Genomic DNA, 15,797 nt, shown 5'->3' with positions numbered 1-15,797 from the left:
ATGTCCTTGCTGCCTAGGGAATGTACTCTTCGAATGAAGGAAGAGAGGTAGCTGGGGTAAGAGCACTTATGAACTGAGGACTGCTGAAATGAGAGCGACAGAGAGTACTTAAGAGGAAGTAGCCTACTTTATATAGGCTCAGGCATTGTTCTGTGTGTATTTACACACACACTCTTTTCTAATAATTGCAAGTAATTCTGGGGGAAATCTATGTCTGAGCAGCAAATCATAACATAATAAATGAAACATTAAAAATTTAGGAGGAAGAGGCCAAGAGTTAAGCAAAGGATATGTTAATGAACAAATGGCACATGTTTAGATGCTTTCAAAATGTTCTTTGATTTTAAAATGGAGAAAAGGGAGATGAAATGTACTTGAAAGGGCTCACAGTAAATTTACTCATTTTGTTTTTATCCGGAAACTGGTGCCCAGAGGTACTATATCTTGATTTCCTTATAAACATACATTTTTATGCAATTATGTTTGTATGTGCCTGTACCCAGGGGAGGGGGGCACCTGGGCATTTGTGTGAAAGCATAAAAGAGGTACTAAAATAATTTGTTATTGTAAGTCAGGTAAAAAAAAAAGCTTATGATGTTTCAGAGATTCATGAATTCCAAGCATAGCTGAGTTATTTTCCAGGCGTAACATGTTATATACTTACTAATACATCCCATAATCATGTCAATTTTTTAAATAACTGTGTCATTCTTTAGTTGACTTGTGGTACAATGTAGTTGTCAAATATTTTGCTTAGAAACCTGTCTTTTTTGCCCATATATTTCTATTTTATATCTGTCTCTACATTTATTATTCTTTACTATTCACCATGGTACTTCATCTTGTTTTTAATAAATAATTTTCCTAACTTGTCAAGATGCTTTTACTGTTTGTTTGTGTCTTACAACTTGACACTCAACTCGGAGTCACAATGAAATTTCTTTTTCAATTGTTTTATCCAGGGCACTAATAAAATTGTATTTGGAAAATAACCCAAAATTGTCCCTTTTACCTATTGTTTCTTCTTTCCATACCTAATTTATGGAGATCATCTATTGTTTCTGTATACCACCTTATTATTTCTCCCAAGCTAACAGTAAACTATTGGATTTCCCTTTTGGGCATATCCTACATGGTGACTCTATCTGTATCTATCGACACACAAACATATATGCATATATACATATATATTCATATTCTAGTTAAGCCATAAGAATAACAAAATTAAAAAATCTTACTGAAGTCCTGAACCTTGATAAAGACTATCTCCCAGAAGCTTCTATCAAATAACATACTCAATGATAGAACGGTGGGAGCACTTTTTAGTAAAGTCAAGAACAAGTCAAGGATGTATACTGTTATCACTATTGTAGCCCTAGACAATGGAATAAGACCATTGGAAAAATTAAGAGGTAGAATTAAAATAAAAGAAGAAGCAAAACTTTCTAGAGAAAATGATCACTTATCTTGAAAATTCAAGAGAATCAATGGATGAATTAATAAAATTAATAGGAGTTCAACAAGGTGGTCAGATGCAAGGTCAACAATAGTGATACAAGATCAATATCAATAGCTTTCTTATGTATCAGCAATAATTATGTTAACTGAAGTATTGTTTGTAAAAGAGCAGCACTGAAAACAACCCAAATGTCCATTGCTAGGGGACTGGTTAAATAAATTATGTGTGTGTGTGCAATATTAATATAATGCAATAGTTAAAAGAATGAATTTGATTTAAATACAAATTTACTGACATGAACATAACTCCAGTTCCTATTGTTGAGTAGCTAAAGCAAGCTACAGAATAACTTTGTTAATATTAAAAATAAAACACAAATTGACTACGTGTTTTCTGTACGTATATATGCAAAAATGAATAGAAAAAGTCTGAAAGGTTACATACTGAATGAATAGCAATAGTTATCTCTTGAAAAGGTGCTGGAATTGGGGGTGGTAGTCAAGGGGAGACTTTAGTTATATTGTTAGTGTTTTTTATAGGAGAAACTACTCATTTATTACTTGTATCAGTAAAAATAAAAACAATTTAAAAAATACAATAGTTTGCCAAATTTACCAAACTTCATTTCAACTTGTCCATCTTTTCACATATAAAAGAGAATTGTTTTGTAGCTTCTTAAACTTTTATTCATTGAGCAAATAGTGAAGACCATGCACTATGCTCTGTACAATGGATACAATGGCAAACATGACAGACGTGGTCTCTGTCTTCCTGGAACTTACAATCTAGTGGGAGAAACAAATAATAAACAAGTAAGAAAATAATTAGGCCAAGTGCGACGGCTCACGACTATAATCCCAGCACTTTGGGATGTCGAGGCAGAAGGATTACTTGAGACTAGGAGTTCAAGATCAGCCTGGGCAACACAGTGAGACCCCTGTCTCTAAAAAAATAAAATAAAATTGCCTGGTGTGATAACACAGGCCTGTGGTCCCAGCTACTTGGGAGGCTGAGACAGGAGGATTGCTTGAGCCCAGGGAGTTCGAGACTTCAGTGAACTTTGTTTGTGTCACTGCACTCCAGCCTGGGTGACACAGCAAGACCCGTATCAAAAAAAAAAAATTAAATAAATAAATTTAAAAAATAAATTAAAAAAGAAAATATACATTAAAATAAATTTTAACAAGAACGACCTGAAGGTTTTGATAGAAAATAATATGTATAAGGTCAAGGGAGACCCGTTAGAAGAAACATTTAAACTGGTATATGGAGTACCTGTTATGTGTGATAACGATGGTGGTGAGAGAGAGCAAAGCAAGTAAAAAGTGTCCCACGCAGGAAAAGCTTCACGTGTTGGAGAAAATGTCCGAAGATCAGAGTGGTTGAAGCATTGTGAGGGAGAGGGAAAGAGTAGACTGTTAGGTTGGAGAGATAGGCAGAGGCCAGATCATGCAACTCCTTTTAGGCCTGATAAAATTTAGACTTTATTTGAAGAACAATGGAAAGTCACTGGGGAGTTCTGAGAAGAGGAGTGATGTGATCGACCTATATGTTTTGATCACTCTGGCTTCTGTGTAGAGAATATATGGGGTAGGTTGAGTAGAAGCAGGGAGCCCAGTTTGGAGGCTATTTGCAGTAGTCAGTGCGAGAGCTGGCGGTAGCCTGTACTAGACTAGTGGTAGTAGATAGACATGGTTATATTTTGGAGGCAGTGTTATGTGAAAAAAAAATGAAGGAGAAGTGACTCAGGCAGAGGAGGCAGCAAGTACAAAAGCTTGCGCTTATTTCTCTTTGTTAAAAAACAGAGAGAAAACCAGAGTCGCTGAGGCATGGTAATGCAGGGCAGAAGGGCATAGGATAAGGTCTGATTGTACATGATTAGCATCAAACCTTGTAGGCCTAGGCTCAAGGCCTGGATTTTATTCTAACTGGGGTGGAATTACATTTTCCACAGGATCACTCTGGCTGCTATGTGCTACAGAGGGGCGAGAATAGCAAGAGAGAACACTTAAGAAGCTATTGCAGTGGTCCAGGTGAGAGATGATTTTGGCCTGGGCTTGGATGGAGGCAGCAGAGGTGAAAAAGTGAATGGACTTAAGAAATGCTTGGAGGTAGGATCAAGAGAACTTTATGTTTAATGAGATGTGGGAGCGAGGATGAGGAAGGCATCAGGGGTTACTTTCAGGCTGTCTGGCAAGGAAATGTTTAGTGGAATTGAGGCACTGAAAGGAGTCCCGTGTGGCAAGAGTTCAGTGAGTAGAAGAGGAGGGAGTGAGAGGAAATGAGGTCACAGCAGTAGGCCAGATGATTCAGAGCTGGATAAAGTCTTGGAAAGAAGTTTGAATTTACCCTGAGTGTCATGGGAAGCCACGGAAGGATTTTAAACAGAATGAGATTTATTTTCTCTAAAAAGCCACTTTGGCTTACAGTCTGGAGATTGGGCTTGGAAGGGGAAAAGAGTGGCAGGGAAATCAACTGGAAAGCTGTTGTAGAGGTCTAAGATAGAGTGAGTGGTGTCTTGGAGATGCACAGAATTAGACAGATTTGAGGCTCATTTGAAATGCAACTGATTAGTTTTCTTGAATTAAGCTCTTCTTTATGTACATATCTGAGTTAGTTTTACCGAAGTTTTTTGTCATCTTCTCACTTCATTTATATACCATGCTTTTATTTCCCCTTTTACTTCTAGAAAAACATTTTTATAAAGCATGTGAGTTTGCTGCTATAATTAAACCCTTCCTTTTCATGCACTTCACTACTCTGGAATTGGTTGAGTTTTGGAGATTCTGAATGCCGCACACTTGACTCTAATCCACTTCGTTGGACACAGCTGAAATGATAAAACGTAAAAACCATTTTATCCCTCCCAAATTACTGACCTTGCTGATATAAACTACATCCAAATCTAAGCATTTCTTAAGACATTTTACCTAAAAATAACATATTTAACTTCCAAAGCTGTCTGCTCAGCAAGCAAGTACTTAACATGTTACGCGTCTTCTGCTTGAATAACTCAGGAGTCCTGAATTTTCTTGCATCTCTAGAATAGAACTGAAAGGCCATGTCTGCAGTGCTCGGAAAAGATTGTTAGGAAGTTACATACTTACTTAAGAACATGGTAAACATATCCTTTTATTTCCCACCTCATCAAAATGCCGAGTCAAAATCCCATTATTCCTTCTGGTAAGCTAGAATATGAAAATATATGTATATATACATATATGTTTGTGTGTAGATAGATAGAGATATACTCACCAATGCAGAATATAACCCAAAGGAGAACTCCAAGAGCAAATTAGGAAACTGATACTGGACACAGCACAATGGGAAACTGAGTTAGAAGTTTACCTCCAATTATTAGGCTATACACTATTCTTCCTCAGTGGAAGCTATTCTCAAACTGAAATTATCCCCTTCAGAAAAATAACACTCTTAGTAGGGAGGCTGTAAATAGACTGGACTCAAGAGTAAGGACATTCTGTATTTAAATCATGAAACCATGTGAGGCAAGGAGTGTGGAAGCATCCCTTAGACTTATCAGGTCCCTTGAAGGCAACCTATAAGGGATGCGGAGGCACAGAAATGTGAAAGGACATGGGGGAAGAGAATATATTTGCACAACAGTACGAGGGTGGGTGAAGTAGATTTTCAGTGAGAAAGAGACAAGTTGCCCCTGATATTTAGGACCTAGCCTGGCACTCTCAATTAAGCCTTGACATTTTCTTGTTGAATATAAACCATCTCACAGAACATCAACATTAGAGAAGGTCAATCTGTGACTATGATGGATCAAAACAAACAAACAAAAAAGACCACTCCATAATCAGGTCTGAACACAGACAAAATATGGACAGTGTCCTCGCCACAAAAACTACCAAATATTTCTCTATTCTGGCTAATAAGGGTAACTACCAAATATCTCTCTATTCTGGCTAATAAGGGTAACTATTGCTTCTTTACCAATTACAGCTTTAGCCATGGGCTAGTCTTCCCCACTTACAAAAAAGGTTTATTTAGAAACCTAAACACAGAATTACAACTTACTGGCAGCCTCCAAGTTCAGAACAAAGCCAGCTAGGGTGGCCAACTTGTCACAATTTTCCCAGGAATTTCCTGGTTTAACATTAAGAGTCCCATATCCCAAGAAACCTTCAATCTCAAGCAAACTAGAATGGTTGGTTAACAGTCATCTTCCTTCAACTCTCCCCCAAAACACATAAGCAAGCCCAAATCCTGCAAGTCCTTTTTAACACCCTCTTAGTAGGATGCCCTGTGGTTTTCCATGGTGTGTGCTCTTCCAATTGCTGCAACAAGTAATAAATCTACCTTTTTAAACTACAGGTCTGTTGCTAGCGGTCTTTGGCTGGAGAGCACTGACATTAGAAAGAAGCAGAGAGACACAACATTGTGGAAGTGCTTAGTAAGACCTAGTACAGGATAATGGGACTGAAGGAATGAAGAGGTAGGGGGAGCCAGAGAAGAGTAGAAGAGTACAAGGGCCTGAGGGGGCTACAGTGTGATTTTCTGAAAAGGTGGTTTTTAGGGGGTAATACAAGATGAGATGACAGAAGGTGAAATCGTGAGCTTTATTGTAGGAGGATTTCCCCCATCCTCTGTGTCAAAACAAAACAAAACACGAGTGAAAAGACAGCAACAACAAACAAAATGTTGGCATAAAATAATGACAGTCTTTAATGATCTAGTGTCTGGTCATCTAGTTTTCATATCCACACTTGATTCCTTATGTTTGTCAGCTGCATCACTGAATAGTTTTTATATAAAGGAAATTTCTAGGAAGGAAAAAATCCAATGGCACACTATTTGGCAGGTCTTAAAAGGGCAAAATTCCAAATTTAGTTTTAATTCTTTGGGGTTGATATCATCATATGTTAAAAAACAATGTTCATTAAATAAACACACTATAACAGTGCCTGAAATATAGTAAATGCCAGTAAATGTTAACTATCACAGTTATGATCATTATGCTATCTTTTTCAATGTGTTTATTTTAAAATAGGTGCAATACTGTAGCTTTAAAATATTTTTGATCATGTGTCTTTGGTTATATTGGAGGTATATATTGAATGATAAGTCTAACTGCCTCCTTTTTAAAACTCTGTTCAGAGTCACATATTCAAATGATTATGCACATGTTTCTTTTGGAGAGATTTACTGTGAGTGATCTTTGGTAAATATTTCAAATTTACTGGCAGGGTACCTACATTCTACTAGATATTGGTCCCTAATACAGGTTGCAAAGAAAGTTTTGAAAACAGGACTACTATTTAGTTTGATACTGTTTGTATTTCAAAAATAGCAGGAGAGTGAATAAGTAGAATGTGTTCATGCAAAAGGAAACCCAGAGTATTCAGGATCTCTAAGTTTAAATGTATAGCAAGTTGGTTCCTTAGAACAGATTTAATTCCTAAGTTTTATCAGAAAATGGCATTAGTTTCTTTCTACAAAAATGAAAGTCACTCGTAAAAACACAGGAACAGGCAGGGAATGCTTATGAAATGCTCTTAGCTAGAAAATAATATAAAATGTGAATGTCTGAGCTCTTGCAGTGTCCAGGATGTGTCACAAAAGGTAGCACATGGAGTTTTGTTACATCTACAATAATTTTGTACTGCTGAAGTTCATCTTACTTGTTTTTTTGATGCTTAGCGAAATAAGCAGTTTGGTTTTCAAATATTAGTACCAAACAGTGATATTGTATGTGTACAACTTGGAACATTCCAAGCACCATACTATTCTTAACATAAGTTTGATTTTCTCCTTTTCATAATTCTAAAATCTGTTTAATTTAATTTGCATTAATTTTCTTAGAGGCCAAATTTGGCAATAACACCAATTATCAAAATTTTGTATTCATTTACTGTCAGCGCTTGCCTTGATTGAAATTATTCCTTTTTTTTTTTAGACCAAGTCTGATAAAAACACACATACCTATCCACAGTGAACAAAATGGGGTTCAGAAGTTTACTTCTTCATTGGTTTAAAAATCTATTTACTTGGAAACTGTTTTTTTAAATAAATAAAAACCAGTGATTTTCAGAAGTAACTCCTTTAAAAAGTTAATAAATTAGAAGTTTCTATTTACTTAAGAAGCCATTAGTAAATATTTCTAAGGGAAATCTTTATTTTCTTTGTTAATTACAGTGTTATCCTATTTCTGCCATACACTTTTCAATGGGTAATATCACGTTTTTGCAGATTCGTTTGTATCAGTCCCGCAAAAAGATTCAAATCTTACAAGCATACAGTAGAGTCAAGTTCTCATTTCTATAACATTTTACACACTTATAATATGCTATTATTTAAGCATAATGAAACTGTTTTGCAGTTTCACAAACTTGAAAACATACAATCCCTTTTGCAGGAGAAAATAAATCAAACTGAGAAGTGCAAATTAATAATGAAATTAAATTTTTTAATGTTTAGAGGTAAAGGCACAGTTTATTAAAAAGCAACTCACGATATAATGCCCACTGAGGAAACTTATATTGCTAAGAAAACATGAAAGAAAATAGGAATCACTTCATGAATTGCTACTGTCTTTGGAACAAATTAATTAAAAATATTAAATAATAATAAAGTAATTACAAGTTGTGCCAGGCAAGAAAATTTAAAGTAAAATTATTTTACAACCTTGTTGCCAGATCCTAGACCAGTTCTAGATGGAAATACCATTCTAAGATAAACGGACATTAACTCTCTTTGTGAATCAATTATTACTTACCAAAATTTGCCATCTGTATCGTCTGATTGCCAGTCTCTGGAGCATTGTAAATCACAACAGCATCAGCATTTCTTCTGCCCGCTGTTTGAATTTTTTCTGAAAATGTACAATTACCTCTTTCTATCAGCGCAATCCAGGGCTTCTTAGTATTACTAAACTCAGTGTTGTGGTCACAAGCTTGGTAGTTATTGTTCTTAGGGATGCCTACCACTCCCATAGCATTAGCCACTGGTGAAGCTAATCCATAAACGCCACATTCACATGTCTCTATTGCAGTGTAGTTGCTGGTTTCATTGTAATAAGTCACAGTCACATAGGCACTCATTGAAAAAGATGCTGTAATTTTAAGTAAAAAGGTAAAAATTACAAGGAGCCAAAAAAAACTGGACCTATTCTCCTGGTTCATTGCTCATTCATTTGAGTATAAAATTTAAGATGTTTGCTGATATTTCCAACTATCAGTCACCATTGTCCACTCACGTCCCTGCTGAACAGAAGTTTGAAATTTCAGTTGCACGTAGGTAACTGATCTCACCTCTAGCAACATAACCTCTGGATACATCAGCTCTATTTCACTTTAGTTATCTACATTCCCCTTTGCTTGCCCCTCCTCCAGCTGTACACACAGGTAACCCTTAACCAGGACTACCTTAGTAATAAATAACACCATCAACTTTATTCTACATGTCAACTTATTAGGATTGGATGACTTCCTGCAGTACATTTTTTTTTCTTCTTACTGTTCCAACTAATGCACTTTCATAAACATGGAGTGGATTGGAAAGAGGAACTGGACTCTGGGGAATCCCACGTGACAAGGCTGAAAGTTACCTCTCTCAGAATATCTAAAACACTAAACTGGTTTGCCAAGCCCTGCTGAAATATGCTATCAACCAGTTCAGCCTGGAGTAAGTTAAGATCCATGAGTTTAATTGCTATGGCATTAGTAGAATGAATTTTATTGCTTTTTTCTCTTCTAATTTCTCTCTCTCTCTCTCTCTCTCTCTCTGTGTGTGTGTGTGTGTGTGTGTGTGTGTGTGTGTGTGTTTTCTTAGCAGGCTCCCCAAGGGATATCCTCTGTTACCTTGTTTATTCGTTGGAAAACAAACATATTTCAGTAGCTAGAATTCCTTTCCTTTCAAGTATAGTGCCTTGCCCATGGCAGGCACTCAAATATTTGTTGATTGATTGATACCTGCAAGTTGCTGCATTCCATTAATTTTTGTGCCCCATGTGTTATACTCTAAAAAAGGTTGTTGAAGGTTTAATTTTTAACATTTACATTTTTAAATTTTTAGTTCTCCCAGATGTATAGACAACTTTATTTGTTTCATTGCTTCCTTTAGTTCAAGCTCTGTTTTTATTCAGGAGCACACTGGACACTAAGAGCATTAGGACACATACGCTACGGGGTCAACTGGTCTGTGAAAATTGCTGGGATGGGGAGATTGCAATGTGTGCCAAGGGCTGATGAAGGAATAGATGAACGAACAAGACAAACAGAGATATCAGGAGTCTGACTGGGCCAAGAGTCAGCAAACTAGACAAACAGGCATCAGGCTTCCAGGGAAGCAAAAAGCTACCAGGTCAAAAGGAAGGTAGGGACAATGGTAGTCCAAGGTCCAAGTCAGGTAATCTGGAATCAGGAAGGTTTACTAGAGTCAAGGGGACAGGACAACCGAAAATAAAAAAATAGGAGACGTTGTTGATGGAGGTGGTCAATGAAGCTGTTTCTTCTCCCTACTTCTTGTCCGCTTTTAAACATCTGAAATATCAGTGTTGGAGTGGACCCTGCAGGTGAGAATTAACAGTTCACACCACTCAGCAGAGGGAAGGAGTTCAGGGAATCAGCAGCAGAACCTGCTGAATAAATCCCAGCAGATGTATAATACAAATATGAACCTTGCTATCATATCATAGCTGCCAATTACTCATTAGCGTACCCTCCCATAGTACCTGGTACTACTAGCATCATACACCTAGTAACAGCCTAATAATTCATATAATTGAACTGAAAAGATTAAAGGTCTTGTGTATTAGCTTATGGTCAATTTAAGAGTAAACACAAATAGTTCATTATTTTGCTACTAGCCCTATCATTTTGATGTGTTTTTAGGATCACAATAAAGCCTGTATTCACCAGAGAAAATTATCAGACTAAAAACAGAAATGTTATTATTGTTATTATAAATGTTGTCAAAACCATTAGCTTAGAGATTGCTGATGGACAGTCTTTTGTGATAAATTCAACATCAACATTCAACATTTAAATAATTAGTAAAATCCCAGAAATTTGATCTATCCTTTTCTGCCAATTAAATTACTCCTTAAAAAATCTTCTCATGAAAAACTTTAAAAGCAGATTAATGAGAAGTTACCTAAATCCATTAGAAGTCAAATTTTAAAAAATAATATTTCTTTGTTTATCTTAAGATTTCTTTTCATTATTTTGTGTAGGGATTTTTTCTTAGTTACATGATCATATTTATATATTTTTAAATTAGTTTTTCATTTAATATCTCAGTCATTATATATTTTATCTTATAATCTTTGTAGACAATGCTTTGTTGGATAAATGATATTCCATTAATGGAAATACCTCGGTTTACTTAGTCATTCCATTTTTGTTTGGTCAAAATTTTAAATAATATTTTTGCTATTATCATTTTGTTATAATAACTTTTTCTGTGTTTAAGATTATATCCTAACAGTTTTTTTCAGTGGATTTAATAGGTTGAAGTTTTGAACATTTAAAAAATCTTAACACATTTTACGTATTCAGGAAACAATTCAGGATAAAAATACACTAAGGAAAAGCTCTCCTGCCTCATTTCTCCTCCCATGTCTCCAGGGTAGTTACCAGAGGCTGGGAAGGGAAGGAGGAGGGAGGGATGAAGAGAAGTTGGTTAATGGGTACAAGAATACAGTTAGCTAGAAGGAAGAAGTTCTAGTATTCGATAGTACAGAAGGGTGAATATAGTTAGCAACAGTGTATGGTATATTTCAAAAACAGTTAGAAGAGAAGAATTGTAATGATCCCAACACAAAGAAAAGATAAATGTTTGAGGTGATGGATATCCCAATTACCCTGATTTTATCGATATACATTGCATGTGTCAAAATGTCACATGTACCCCATAAATATGCACAACTATAATCTATCAATAAAAAATACAAAAAGGCCAGGCACAGTGGCTCATGCCTGTAATCTCAGCATTTTGGGAGGTAGAGGCGTGCAGATTGCTTGAGCCCTAGAGTTTGAGACCACACTGGGCAACATGATGAAACCCCATCTCTATCAAAAAAAAAATAGCTGGTGTGGCGGTGTGCATCTGTGGTCCCAGCTACTCGGGAGGCTGAGGCAGGAGGATTGCTTGAGCCTGGGAGGTCGAGGATGCAGTGAGCTGAGATTGCACCACTGCACTTCAGCCTGGGTGACAGAGTGACTCTGTCTCAAAAAACAAAACAAGACAAAACAAAACAACCCAAGAAGGCACCATTCAATAAATGGTGATGGGACAATTGGCTAGTCAGTTAAAGAAGGAAAATAATCAGTTTGCTCCTCATTTCCTCCTCACAAAACACCCAAATAAATTACAGTTGGATTAAGTAATAATGTTTTTTGAAAAATTAAGAATTTTTTAAAACCAGCAGACACAGACCTGGGTATTTATTAAACCTTGTGAAAGGGAAAAGACTGTCATATCAGTGGAAAAAATTAAAGTGGAACATTTGCTCACTCAACAATATTGAACTATTTTAAATAGGCAGTGATACATTGGGGAAATATTTGTAGCAAATGCCCCAAAGGTATTTTATTACATGTTATTAAAGATCTTATACCCATGGAAAGCAAAGCAAATTAAAGAATAATATGCATACTATGACTTTCTTTTGGTAATAAAACCAAGCCTTCTTTGCATCTTTACAAAGAAGTGTAATTGTATGCACAAACAAGGAGAAAGGTAGGAAGACACACCCAGGCCTTTACCACTGGCTCCCTGTTAAATAATCTGAACATACTAGTTTCAAATCTTGACATATTTTTGCACAAGTTAAATCATTAAGTTCTGAAAAAAGGACAACTTGGATGGGTGCAGTGGCTCATGCCTGTAATCCCAGCACTTTGGGAGGCTGAGGCTGGCGGATTGCTTGAGCTCAGGAGTTCGAGACCAGCCTGGGCAACAAGACAAAACCCCGTCTCTCTATATATATATTTTAAAAAAATACAAATAAAATAAATTTTAAACAATGACAACTTTCCCATAACATCTTGTGCCAGTGTTGGTGTAATAAGAGAACATTCCTAAGCTATTATGTTACATTGCACTGGAGGTTGAAGTACATAACTTAAACTTGAAAATAAAATTTTTGTGTGTGGGTAGGTGTATTCATGGGGAACATGAGATATTTGAATACAGGCATGCAATGTGTAAAAATCACATCAGGGCAAATGGGATATCCATCACCTCAAGCATTTATCTTCACTTTGTGTTATAAACAATCCAATTATACTCTTCTGGTTATTTGTAAATGTACAACAAATTGTTCCTCTGTTGTGCTATCAAATACTAGATCTTATTCATTCTATCTAACTATATTTTTGTACCCAACAACCATCCCTGCTTCTTCCCTCTGCACTACTCTTGCAGGCCTTGTAACCAACCTTTATCTTTCTATATCCATGAATTCAATTGTTTTAATTTTTATCTTCCACAAATAAGTGAGAACATGCAAAGTTTGTCTTTCTGTGCCTGGCTTATTTCACTTAACATGATGATCTCCAGTTCTACCTATGTTGTTGCAAATGACAGAATCTTATTCTTTTTTATGGCCAAATAGTGCTCTATTATGTACATATACCACATTTTCTTTATTCATTCGTCTGTTGATGGACGCTTAAGTTGATTCCAAATCATGGTTATTGTGAATAGTGCTGCAATAAACATAGGGGTATAGATATATCTTCGATATGTTGAGTTCCTTTCTTTTGTATGTAGACCTAACAGTGGGATTGCTGGATCTTATGGCAGTTCTAGTTTAGTTTTTTGAGTAACCTCCAAACTGTTCTCTATAGTAGTTGTATCAGTTTACATTTCTACCAACATTATATGAAAGTTCTCTTTTCTCCACATCCTCATCAGTATTAATTATTGCCTGTCTTTTGGATAAAAGCCATTTTAACTGGGGTAAGATGATATCTCATTGTAGCTTTGTTTTGTATTTCTCTGATGATCAGTGATGTTGAGCACATTTTCGTGAATCTGCTTGCCATTTGTATGTCTTCTTTTGAGAAATCTTTTATCAGATCTTTTGCCCATTTTGATTGGATTATTAGATTTTGTCCTGTAAGTTGCTTGTGTTCCTTATATATTTTGGTTATTAATCCCTAGTTTATAGATGAATAGTTTGCAAATATTTTCTCCCATTTTGTGAATTGTCTCTTCACTTTGTTGATTGCTTCCTTTGCTGTGCAGAAGCTTTTTAACTTGATGTGAACTCATTTGTCCATTTTTTATTTGATTGCCTGTGCTTGTAGAGTATTACTGAAGAAATCTTTGCCCTGTCCAATGACCTGGAGAGTTTCCCCAATGTTTTCTTGCAGTAGTTTCAGAGTTTGAAGTCTTAGATTTAAGTCTTTAATTGATTTTGATTTGATTTTTGTATATGGTGAGAGATAGGGTCTAGTTTTATTCCTCTGCGTATGGATATCCAGTTTTCCCATCACCATTTATTGAAGAGACTGTCCATTCCCCAATGTAGGTTCTTGGCATATTTGTTGAAAATGAGTTCACTTTAGATGTATGGATTTATTTCTGGTTTGTCTATTCTGTTCCTTTGGTCTCTGTGTCTGTTTTCATACCAGTGCCATGCTGTTCTGGATACTATAGCTGTGTAGTACAATTTGAAGTCAGGTAATGTGATTCCGCCAGTTTTGTTCTTTTTGTTCATGATCACTTTGGCTATTCTGAATCTTGTGGGGTTTTATATAAATATTAGGAATTTTCATTTTCTCTTTGTGAAGAATGTCATTGGTATTTTAGTAGGGATTGTGTTGAATCCCATAGATCGCTTTGGGTATTGTGGACATTTTAACAATATTGGTTCTTCCAATCCATAAACATGGACTATCTTTTCTTTTTTTTTGGCCTCTTCAATTTCTTGAGTCAATGTTTTATAGTTTTCATTTTAGAGGTATTTTATTTCTTTGATTAAGTTTACTCCTCTGTATTTTATTTTGTTTTTAGCTTTGCTAAGTGGAATAAATTTTTTGGTCTCCTTTTCAGATTGTTTGCTATCAGCATATAGAAATGCTACTAACTTTTTTATGTTGATTTTGTATCCTGCAACGTTACTGAATTTATTTATCTGTTCTAGTAGTTTTCGGTGGAATCTTTAGATTTTCCTACTACAAGATCATATCATCAGCAAAGAAGGATAATTTGACTTTTTCCTTGCCAATTTAAATGCCCTTTATTTCTTTCTCTTGTCTGATTGTTTTAGGTAGGATTCTCAGTACAATGTTGAATAATGGTGAAAGTGGGCATCCTTGTCATGTTCCAGATCTTAGAGGAAATACTTTCAGTTTTTCCCCATTCAACATGATACTTGCAATGGGTCTGTTATATATAGCTTTTATTGTGTTGAGGTATGTTCTTTCTATATGCAGTTCTCTGAGGGTTTTTATCATGAAGCGATGTGAACTTTATCATAATGTTTTTCAGCATCAATTGAAATGATCATGTGGTTTTTGTCCTTTATTCTGTTGATATGATGTATCACATTGATTGACTTTTGTGTGTTGAGCCATCCTTGCATCCTTGGGATAAATCCCTCTTAGTCATGATGAGTGAACTTTTTAATGTGTTGTTAAATTTGGTTTGCTAGTATTTTGTTGAGGATTTTTGCATCAATATATATCAGGGATATTGACCTGTAGTTTTCTTTTTGTTGATTTATCTTTCCCTGGTTTTGGTATCAAGTTAATACTGACCTCATAGGAGTTTGGAAGTATTCCCTCTTTCTCTGTTTTATGGAATAGTTTGAGTAGAATTGGTATTAGTTCTTCTTAAATATTTGGTAGAACTCAGCAGTGAAACCATTTGGTCTCCTGTTTTCCTTTACTGGGAAAATTTTTATTATGGCTTAGGTCTCGTTACTTGTTATTGGCCTGTTAAGGTTTTGGATTTCTTCATTGTTCAATGTTGGAAGGTCGTATAAGTCTAGGAATTTAGCCATTTCTTCTAAGTTTTCCAATTTATTGGCATATAATTGCTCATAGCAGCCTTAAATGATCCTTCAAATTTCTGTAGTATCAGTTGAAATGTTTCCTATTTTCACCTCTGATTTTATTTATTTGTATCTTCCCTCTTTTTTTCTTAGCTAGTTTAGCTAAAGATTTGTCAATTTTATTTATCTTTTGAAAAAAACGAGTTTTTGTTTCATTGATGTTTCGTATTTCTGTAAATTTCATTTTCATTTATTTCTGCTCTGATCTTTATTACTTTTCTGTACCAATTTCAGATTTTGTTTGCTCTTGCTTTTCTAGTTCTTTAAGATGTATTGTTAGGTTGTTTATTTGAAGTTTTCCTACTT

General features: G+C 35.5%; 1 protein-coding gene across 1 annotated transcript in view; it reads right to left on the bottom strand.

Moving 5' to 3' along the window:
- Positions 1–8,772, bottom strand: part of RNF128 (ring finger protein 128) — a 103,179-nt gene extending 94,407 nt beyond the window's left edge. The window contains exon 1 of the mRNA NM_024539.3: positions 8,202–8,772. Coding sequence (NP_078815.3) covers positions 8,202–8,607 — 406 coding nt within the window. The 5' untranslated portion in view covers positions 8,608–8,772. The remainder of the gene's footprint in view (positions 1–8,201) is intronic.

This window comes from Homo sapiens, chromosome X, assembly GCF_000001405.40.
Source record: "Homo sapiens chromosome X, GRCh38.p14 Primary Assembly".
Classification (NCBI taxonomy): Eukaryota; Metazoa; Chordata; class Mammalia; order Primates; family Hominidae; genus Homo; species Homo sapiens.
The sequence above is the reverse complement of the archived record's forward strand: the minus strand, read 5'-3'. Positions and strand labels throughout refer to the sequence as shown.